Source organism: Homo sapiens, chromosome 12, assembly GCF_000001405.40.
Source record: "Homo sapiens chromosome 12, GRCh38.p14 Primary Assembly".
In the NCBI taxonomy this organism is placed as follows: domain Eukaryota; kingdom Metazoa; phylum Chordata; class Mammalia; order Primates; family Hominidae; genus Homo; species Homo sapiens.
The window spans coordinates 60,256,156-60,267,472 of NC_000012.12; the positions used below are offsets into that span (position 1 = coordinate 60,256,156).

The window sequence follows — 11,317 nt, forward strand, 5'->3', positions numbered from 1 at the left end:
TTCTAATACATGCTCTCTCCTGTTAAATGCTTAATATTCCCAAAGGTAAATAGGAAGGCACTTTCTTCTGTATTTTCTGAAAGCAAACATTTTAGATCTTTAATCTTGGAGAAATTAAGCAATGATTTAACCTTCAAACTAAATACTATATAGCACAGACATTTGAAAATATAGCCTCAATGTGATTTTATCAGGATATTAGGTTTCATTATTTATAATGTTTGGAGATTAACTACGTTATATATAAAGGCCAATGAAATAAGCAAAGTTTGTACTGAAACCATTTGAAAGAAGGTTTTCTCCTAGATAAATTAACTGATTCTTTATCTTGATTAGGCTTCATTCTTTATTCCAACAGACACTTAAGTGGGTGAATCCTACAGACAATAAATTCACATTTTTCAATAAATTCAGTTTTTTTTAAAACTAATCTACTTCTCCAGATATCGATATCTGGTTTAGACTAGGTTTGATAAAATCCAAGAGAAATGTTGAGCCCTAAAACTTCAATTAAATAGACCTTTGAGACCAGAAACAACTTGACATTGAAACTTTTATTTGTCTGGGAAATTATACTTGAATATTTTCAAATGACTCTGCATTTTTTTTTTGTTCAGACAAATAAGAACCAAAAAACTGGGGGTATTTACATAAAAGAGTAGCATATTTGAATCAAATTTCTAAATCATTGTCAATCTGATTTTAAAAATTGTGTTGACACTGTGAAAAGGTCTGTTTTATTTGTACTTATCAGTTATGTTTAAATCTTATTTCCACAATACATACTTCAGTGATAATCTATGTCAATAAATTATTACAAGTGGAAAAAATACTTTATACAATTCAATAAAACCAGTGGTGTCTGGAAGAATGTAAATGATTAAGCCCATCAACTAACATTAAAGTATTTAGAACCAGCAAACCTTGGCAGAAAGAAGGTGTTGTGGGGAACTTTCAGAGAAGAATGTCTGTGAAAGTCCAACATGTCTAATTGCTTGGCAGAATATAGAGAGACAAAATCTCCTGAGAGGACAAAAATCTTCCTTTTGAAACTCCCAGTTGTGTATGCTCAGTGGGTTTTCGAGTGAATAAAGTAAGCTGGAAAGCACAAGAGGGCAGCCTGTGTCTACTAAACCTTGAATTCCAGAGCTATGTGTCAGAGACCCTAATCATATCATAGGAAAGTATGGCCCAGACATGGTGGCTCATGCTTAAAATCCCAGCTACTTGGGGAGACTAAAGTGAGAGAATCACTTCAGTTCAGAAATTTGAGACTAGCCTGGGATAAAAGACTATCCACTGGGTACAGTGTACACTGCTTGGGTGATGGTGCACCAAAATCTCAGAAATAAAAATAAAAAAGAAAGAAAGAAATGTTTGGAAGAAAATGTGTTTCAGGTCAAGGAGCTATATGCTACCTACAATCTCAGCTGCTACTTTTAGTAGAAATTCTACTGTTAGTAGAACTTCAGAAGAGTTGGAATTTGACAATGAGAAAATATATTCTGATATTACATACCAACTCATAAATTGAGGTCTCTAAATGCTGTGTATTAAAATTTTAATGCAATTCTATGCATACAAGAGATAAGATATTGGGAAGAGTGCAAATTGTAATATACATCAAACATTGCATTTTGAGTTACACTCTTGTTCTTGAGTGTCTGCTATCGAAGACACGAATGTTAGATCACAAATAAGAGGCAACAGAATTGACTGTGCTTTATTCATTTTCTAGCTGCAATGTTTTGGTCATGTTACTAAACATCTTTGAATTGTAGTTTTCCCACATAGAATAAATGTTATCATAATAGTTTCTATACAAGGTTAAGAATTAAATAAAATACTTTATATAAGAGAAAACAAGCAAGAAGCCAGCACATAAACTACAGTTACTGGTAATATAATTGATTATTAGTGATAATGTACACATGATGATTAATCTCAACATCACATAATTTACTCAGTATAGTTCTATCTCCTTTGTCATTGTTCATAGAGAAGCACATTTATGTGTTTGTCCCGTAGCTTATTTCTTCGTTATTTTTTACTCTTTTGACCCATTTTCTCTCCTGGTATGAAATCAAGATGGTGACTGATTTCTTAACATTTGCCTGTCTCTTGTTCTCCTACTTGGGTTTCTAGTTTTGAAATGCGTGTGAGTCCTTTTCAAAGTCTTTTTTTCCTAACATGGTATTGATATTTTGGATAAAGTTTGATCTGAATATTTGCTTCACATAGATGTCCTCTGAGTTTTTAAATAATCCCATCTAAAAAATTATGTATTATCCCTTCATACCATTAAGCTTTCATGCGCTGCCTTAAACAAGACTCTATCTGAACTCAGTTTGTAATTCATTTCCTCATTCCAATCAAGATTCCTGACTCTTAGTTTGAAAATGTTCTACGGAAAAATAGAATGTGTAATCTTTGGCAAATTTTGATCTTCTGGTGAATTTGTTGTAAGTGCAACAAAATCTGTATATATGTAATAATCCTAATAACTCTTTCTTTTATAAATAGGGTAGCAGAAATTCATCTGTAATTAAGGACTTTTACTATATTAAAAAGAGTAAGCTTTTTAATAAAAGAGGGGTAAGCTGGGATTGGTAAACATCTCTTGTCCACAATTCTGCCCCTTCTCTGTGCTTTCAGCAAGAGTGAACTCTGTTTAATGGATGCACTTGACAGTGGCAATCCATTATAAGTGCTTTAAAGGCAGACATAAGTAAAACAACCTAAACCACAACCATTGTTAATAATTGATGTTTATTCATCATTGGCAACTATTGATTATAGACTTAAAAAGAAGTTCTTTGTGTATTGATGTTGGACCCTTTACTCTGCTATACAGAAAACTGCAAGTGACTTGAACTTAAGGGAAGTGTGTTACAATTCTTAAAAAATTAAGTAGCCATTAAAGAAACAAGGTGCAGTGTTCCATGGCTTCCTGTGGAATAAAAACAGGTTGTCTTTGAAGAGATTCATGAGAGAATTCTCTTGAGTTTTTTTTTAAACAGCTATTACTAATAATGCGGTTATAATTGAGAACTGTTTATCCTAGAGATTTTAAAGATGTGCATCTTACATTTTATAATACATGTGTAAGTTGAAACTGAATTTTATCAATTGTTTGAAATACCAGACACGCTGTTGGAAATATGTCTAGTCCATTTGTTTTGCTCATGATTTCAAGCATCATTTCATTCTATGACATAACAGGGGCCTATAAATACACTAATGGAAGGGTGGAACTGGTATAATGTGGTTTTCATGCTTACTATGGCCTCTTGATTTGAGAAATTACACAAATGATGAGAGAAATGAGTCACAAGGAAGAACAAACTAGAACAAACAATACTTCCGTGCTATATGAAACCCTAATTTGAGGTGTAATTTGAACGATATAATTGCATTCTAATATTGGAGCTATCATTCATTAGCTTGGAACATTTGACTTGTCACAAAGCCTGTTGTTCCCCACATAAAAAATGAGGGAGGATAAAAATTATTTAACTCTCTAGCTGGATGTTGCAAATAGTAAACTGACAACATGTACATGGAATCAGATTAAAAAGTATGAAAATAAAAAAGGGTTAAGGATAGAGTCTAATTATTACTTTTCTAGACTTAAGATAGAGAGGATATGCTAAAGCCATCGCAAATATAGAAAAATTGGTTAGAAGCAATTATAAAAGTGGTTTTAGTATCATGTGAGTATAATCATTAGTAGTTTCAAATGTCAAGCTGTTGAGACAACGTTTTTGAAGAAATATAAAATAGAATATTTAAGACAAATTGTTTCATTGTCAATAACTTATCCTGTTGGGAACACAAGCAAAAGACTATTAAAATATGTATACCTTTCTATTATTGACTCTTACTTATTTCTATGAATGCATAAAATGTGTGCTCTCTTTATTTTTAATAATATTTTAACTTTTTTTAGGATCGGGGTACATGGCAAGTTTGTTATGTAGGTAAACTCATGCTGTCTTTTTAAAGTGAAAAATCTAGTGCCATACTCTATGTTCATAACATTAGCAAGTATGTATATCCACCACATATACATCTGCTAAGATATACATTTGTATATGGAAATACATTTTCTAGGCATAGTGGCAGATACCTGTAATGCGCTTTCATAGAACTGTAGTATGGTGAAAATTAATACAGTTTGAAATAAAAAAGATCACTATTCACATCCTAGCTCTGCTGTTTACTAACAGTTTAATTTTAGATGTTATTTATTATCACTAGTTGATGGTGATCTTATTGTTATGAATTTAAATAAAAGAATGGAAGTGAAAATATTTAGCATGCTTGTCATATAGTAATTGCTCAATAGAGATTAATATTCCTAGCAAGTCAACTCTATTTTCTTAAGACTTTCTATATGTAGCTGTGATATGGCAAACATTATAAACATTTAATAAACAAACTTTTATTGTAGTTTTTTAGAAATCTGTCCATATTTATTTCTCACAATAACCTTCAGAATGCTTTTATTTTTTTATATTATTTTATTTTATTTTTTGAGATGGAGTCTCGCTCTGTCACCCAGGCTGGGGTGCAGTGGTGCGATCTCGGCTCACTGCAAGCTCCGCCTCCTGGGTTCACCTCATTCTCCTGCCTCAGATTCCCGAGTAGCTGGGACTACAGGCGCCTTCCACCAAGCCCGGCTAATTTCTTTTTGTATTTTTAGTAGAGACGGGGTTTCACTGTGTTAGCCAGGATGGTCTTGATCTCCTGACCTCGTGATCCACCCGCCTCGGCTTCCCAAAGTGCTGGGATTACAGGCGTGAGCCACTGCACCCGGCCAGAATGCTTTTAAATACAAAAGACAACACAACTCTAGCTGACAAAGAACAGAAATAAATATTATTAGTTCAATAATTAAATGTCCAGAGACAGGGTGGGGTTTTGGCCTGGTTTGACCAGGAATCCAGTTTTATTTATTTATGATTTTCTTAGCTCTGCTCTTTTCTATTTGCCATTTTAGTTGAAATCTTGTCAGTAACATGGATAACTGACTGCTTTTATTTCAGCTTTCATGTTTGTACTTTACATCATTTAGACAGAGTTTCTGTATCTCAAATAATTATTAAGTTTTATACTAATGGGCCACCCCTGAAGAACAGAGAAATTCCATGTGGTTGGCCAATTCTTGAACTACTTGACTAAATCTCTGTTATAATGGAGATGTTAATGCTCATAATGGCTTAGAATCCAATACAGGAGCTGGTAGTAGTATAAATCCTATCCAAACCATATGCCTGCTCTATGATGGAATGGATGCTAAGCTAATAATCACAATGTTCCTGTGTTACTCTGTGGCACATGTACAAAAATATCTGTCAAGTTCCTTATTTGTAGTATCACAGTACAGGAGAGGAACTTGCAGATTATCAGTGGGCTTACTTTCCAAAGCTTATGAAGTTTGAATGACGACTTGTTCAAGACAATTTGAAATTTTTAGTAATGCTAATTCTGTTTGTTTTGCTTTGTTTTGTTTTGAGACGTCTCTCTGTCACCCAGGCTGGAGTGCAGGGGCTGGAGTGCAGTTGCACAATCTCGGCTCACTGCAACCTCCCCTTCCCGGGTTCAAGTGAAGGAATGCTGATTCTGTATTCATACTTCTGACTGCAAGGAGTTCCAACAATAGGAGTGATTGCTTACTTATTGACTCTGGACCACAGGGTTAATGAGAAGTACGGAGTTACTCTAAGGTATTCAGCAATTTATCTATCAAACATGATTTGCATGATAAATAAATAAAATAACTTATTATCACATGTGAATTAACATTAAAATATGTCCTCATTCTTGAAAAAACTGGGAGCTATTGCACTGCTACAGGCAGTGCACCACTTAAGATGAAATATGTTTGAAATGTTTATGGGGAACTAATTCTAATTCTTTTTTCATATACTTCTTAATAGTAAAAAATTAATATATACATTAAATTTTTAAACAAGTTATGATGAGTTTGCAGGTACTATAATTGTCAGCTACAATAACAAGTACAAACAAATATTTATGTTATCTCAATGTTCATGGAGTTGAATAGGAAATGAAAAAGAATTTAAAATATTTTTTTCAATGGGAAAGACCAAAAGTTGTTCAAAATTCAAAGAAAGGTTAACTTAACTTTGAACACAAATCATGTTTAAGAAAAATAATAATTTAATTGATAGTGCATGTTAAAAAGATAGAAAACATTTCCAATTTTTCTTATTATGGAACACATGATGCTTTTAAAAATTGAAGCATTTGCACTTTTTCCCACTGTAAGGAAAGAGGAGGCTTAAATCTTCAACTACTTGCAGTATACAATTGTAGACCTTTAGGGATAGAATACAATTTTGCAACATATAGATTTACCTAGAAATAAAACAAGTCCAAACGTGGGAATGATTGTTGAATTAAATTATGGCAGAGAGCCAAATGAGATGATACAACTTCAGCCTTCAGTCTTCTCCCTGACCCCACAATTTCTTTTTTATATAATTTTTAGTTCATCTAGTCCAATAAAATACGCAAGACTTTAGTACAGTACGTGGAGGTAATCCTGCATACGTGAAAAGAAAAATTATGCTGATATACATAGATATAAGAAAATAGAAGATATGGAGAAGGAGCTTTGGGAAAATTTTAGTACAAACAGGATGTGCTTGAGGTCTGGAATGCTACTATTTTCCTAGTAGCAAATATATGAAGCCCTCTTATAAGCCTCCATTAATAATATTTTTTCACTTAAGTTTGACTTAGGATTTACTGTTTTCAAACAAAACAAGCCTTAACTAATACATATACGCACAAAAGAGAAATTGAAAGTTTAAAATTGCTTAATATTGAAAATATTAATATAATATTAATAAACATAATATTAAGTGGTAGCTCATTATGGTTTTAATATGCATTTCCCTGATAATTAGTGATGTTGAGCATTTTTCATATTTGTTAGCTATTTAAATATCTTTTTTGAGGACTGTCTATTCATGTCCTTTGCCCACTTTATGATGTGATTATTTGTGTTTTTCTTGATGCTTTGAGTTCCTTATAGATTCCAGATACTAGTCCTTGTCAGATGCATAGTTTGCAAATATTTTCTCTCATTCTGTGGCTTGTCTGTTTACTCTGCTGATTATTTATTTTCCTGTGCAGAAACTTTTTAGTTTAAGTAGGTCCCATTTATTTGTTTTTGTTTTTGGTGCCTTTGCTTTGGGGCTCTTAGTCATGAATTTTTTGCCTAAGCCAATGTCTAGAAGACTTTTACCAATGTTATCTTTTAGAATTTTTTTCAGGTCTTAGATTTAAGTCTTTGATACATCTTGAGTTGATTTTTATCTAAAGTGAGAAATGAGGATCCAGTTTCATTCTTCTACATGTGGCTTGCCAGTTATCCCAGCACCATTTATTGAATAGGGTGTCCTTATCCCAGTTTATGTTTTTCATGCTTTCTTGAAGATCAATTGGCTATAAGTATTTGGCTTTATTTCTGCATTCTCCATTCTGTTTCATTGGTCTACAGGCCTATTCTTATACCAGTACCATGTTGTTTTGGTAATTATAGCCTTGTAGTTTAATTTGAAGTCTGGTAATGTGATGCTTCCAGATTTGTTCTTTTTGTTTAGTCTTGCTTTAGCTATGTGAGCTTTTTTTTTTTTTTTTTTTTGGTTCTATATAAATTTTAGGATTGCTTTTACTAGTTCTTTGAAGAATGATGATGGTATTTTGATGGGAATTGCATTTAATTTGTAGATTGCTTTTGGCAATGTGATCATTTGCACAATATTGATTCTATCCATCCATGAGCATAGGATATGTTTTCATTTCTTTGTGTCATCTATTATTTCTTTTGGCAGTGTTTTGTAGTTTTCCTTGCAGAGATCATTCACCTCCTTGGTTAAGTATATTCCTAAGTATTTTATTGTTTCTGCAGCTGTTGCAAAAGGGATTGAGTTATTGACTCGACCCTCAGCTTGATTGTTTTTGGCATATAACAGAGCTACTAACTTGTGTATATTGATTTTATATCCCAAAACTTGACTAAATTAATTCATCAGATCTAAGAGCTTTTTGGATGATTCTTTAGGTTTTCTAGGCATACAATTATATCATCTTTGAACAGCAATAGTTTGACTTCCTCTTTTCCAATTTGGATGCCATTTCTTTCTTTCTCTTATCTGATTTATCTGTCTAGGATTTCCAGTACTATGTTGAATAGAAGTGGTGAAAGTGGGCATCCTTGGCTTGTTCCAGTTCTCAGGGGGAATGCTTTCAAGTTTTTGATTCTCTTCGACAGCAGGTTATATTCTTCCATTATCCAGCAGGCTATCCAGGTTTGTTTTTATGGAGACACAGATACAAGACAAAAATTAAAAATGTGAAAGACCTCTTCAGTTCTAGGATCAGAACTGGCTCTTCATCTATACTATACTCCCACATTGTATTTGCTAAATTAAGTCAGAAGGCCAGCCTAAATTCAAAGATTATTGAAATATCTTTCTTTTCTTATTGGAAAGACTGATTGCAAAGTATGGATAGAGAAGGAATGATGTTTTCTGGCTATTTTTATAATCAATATGTTACATACAGCTCTCATCACCACCAGAGTAGAGATAATTCTTTTTTTATTGTTTCTATTTGAAAATACTTTAAGAGATCTACAATTGACTGAAATTAGATAACATGCCTATTCTTGAACCAGTCACCTAATCCAATGGGCAATGTACAGATTACCTGAAGGCTGATCATTCAGCCCTCTTGCTGTCTAATACACATTATCCATATCTAATTATAAACTACTACAGATTTTTATTACTTTTCCAGTGTCAGCATGTAGCTTAAAATATGAAAGTCAAACTTGAAGTCTTTATCGTACTGAACTTATTCATTATATACTCACCCTCCTCTTTGTTGCACTCTTGATATACTTAATTTTTAAAAATCCACACTCATTTATTATTTTTGTTCTTTGCTGTAAATTCTATCCATAAACTAAAATACTTAATATCATTTTTAGAATATCTTGATCAATCCACCGTTTGCCTGTTTCATTCTAAATATGTAATCACCTGAGAAGTACTCATCCCATCTTCTAATTTCAATACCATATATATGTTAATAGCACCAAGGCTTTATTTATAACTCACCTTTAAATTTTTACAGTAGGTACCCAGCAAATTCATGCTGAATAAAGGAATAAATGAGTAAATAAAATAATGGACATTAAAGTATTCAATACATCCCAAAGCTCCAAAAATAACAGTTGTTATAATTATACAAAAAGGCATGCAGCTCCATGTGCTTCTAGAAGTTTCTTTGTTTTGCAGGTCTATTTAAATGATTGAATCACTTTATATTTTTGTATAGTCTGAAATATTCATGTTTACAATTAATTTAATTATAAGGAGATTGTTTTTCTTTCTCATTTGTGTTTTTACCCAAATATTGACACTAGTTTTGTTTTTATTTCATTTTAATAGGGATCAACTGGTTCTGACTGGCAGCTTGCCATTAGAAGGGGGTGAACTACCTATTATGATCCTGTATTAAATTAATTGGAAAGAGTTTATGTTTTCAGTATTCCAGCATGCTCGAAGTTTAAGATGCAGACAAGGAAAACAAGGCAGCCTAGAGAACATTTACCTTTGCATATTCTCATACAATTTTTATCCATTTTGCTTCTCTTAATAAACTTTACACAATCACTGCCTGGAAATGTATTTGGTTGTGTGTTTGCTTTGGAATTCTGACCTTTCACTGTGTGCATCAAAATGATTTGCAACAGTTTGTTTATTGAATGACTTTAGCAAATTCAGCCATCTTCAAAATCACCAGTTGCTATTTCTAAAAGCAGGTAGATTTAAAATGAGCTGCCACTGTTTGCCAAATGTAGAAGTGTCAAAATGTTCCCAGTGAATAACATCACTTATTACACTGTAAAAATGTACTTTGGGAGCATTATTTACACACAGCTCATTTCTAACCTACATTTGGAACTTGGACTAATTTTAAATGGGCCAACATGCCATTTTTATATATTGACGAGAACTCTTTCTAAGCAAGCCAAGTAACACCTGAAAATAATTTTTAAATCACTCCTCATTGGAAAGATACCACATAGAAACCATTTACAGGTAAGATTGCCAGATGAAAGCATTTAATTATTCTGCTTTTAGAAAGGATATTAAAATTCTGGGCCAATAGCTTGTGATACTTCATTTGAAGTAGTCATACCTCACTTAGTGAGTCACAGGGATAAGTTCTGAGACATGCGTTTAGGTGGTTTTTCGTGCAAACATCATAGAGTGTACTTACACAAATCAAGATGGCATAGCCTACTACACACCTAGGCTATATAGTATAGCCTATTACTTCTAGGCCACATGTCTATACATCATGTTATTGCACTGAACACTGCAGGCATTTATAACACCATGGTAAGTATTTGCATATCTAAACATATTTGAACATAGAAAAGTTACAGAAAGAATATGGAATAAAAATAAATACGGTACATGTATACAGGACACTTATCTCGGTTAAAGCTTACAGGACTGGACATTGCTTTGGATGACTCAGTAAGTAAACAGTGAGTAAATGTGAAGGCCTGCAACATTACTGTGGACTACTGTAGACTTTAAACACTGTACACTTAGGTTATACTAAATTTTAAAAAATTTATTTCCTCAGTAATAAATTAAACTTAGCTTACTGAAACTGTTTTACTTAAATGATTTTAACCTTTTGGACTCTTGTAATAACACTTAGCTTAAAACACAAACACACTGTACAACTGTACAAAAATAATATAATTCAAATATATTTTTCTAATTTTAATTTTTTATAATTATTGTTTACTTTTTAAACTGGTTAAAAATAAAAGACAAACACATATATTAACCTAGGCTTACACAAGATCAGGATCATCAATATCACTATCTTAACACTTCCCTATCTTGTCCTACTGAAAAGTCTTCAGGGGCAAAAACACTCACGGAGCTGTCATCTCCTATGACAACAATGAGTTCCTTTGAAATTCCCTTTGAAGGACCTCCCCGAGGTTGTTTTACAGCTACCTTTTTTAGTAAGTAAGAAAACATGCTAAAATAATGATAAAAATATAGTATAGTAAGTACATAAACCAATAACTTTATTATTTTCAAGTATTATGTACTATACATAATTTTACATGCTATACATTTTTATTGAATCAAAACATTTTACATATTTAGGGGCTGCATGCATCTGTTCCATGAATAGATTGTGTAATAAAGTCAAGATATATGGGGTATCCATCATCTTGAGT

General features: G+C 32.6%; 1 long non-coding RNA gene across 1 annotated transcript; it reads left to right on the top strand.

The window, feature by feature from the left end:
• Positions 1–5,549: 5,549 nt before the first annotated feature.
• On the top strand, positions 5,550–9,727 carry LOC124903071 (uncharacterized). Its single transcript, XR_007063566.1, has 2 exons — positions 5,550–5,729; positions 9,492–9,727. It is a non-coding gene; the product is annotated as an uncharacterized LOC124903071 (long non-coding RNA).
• The last annotated feature ends 1,590 nt before the right edge of the window (positions 9,728–11,317 follow it).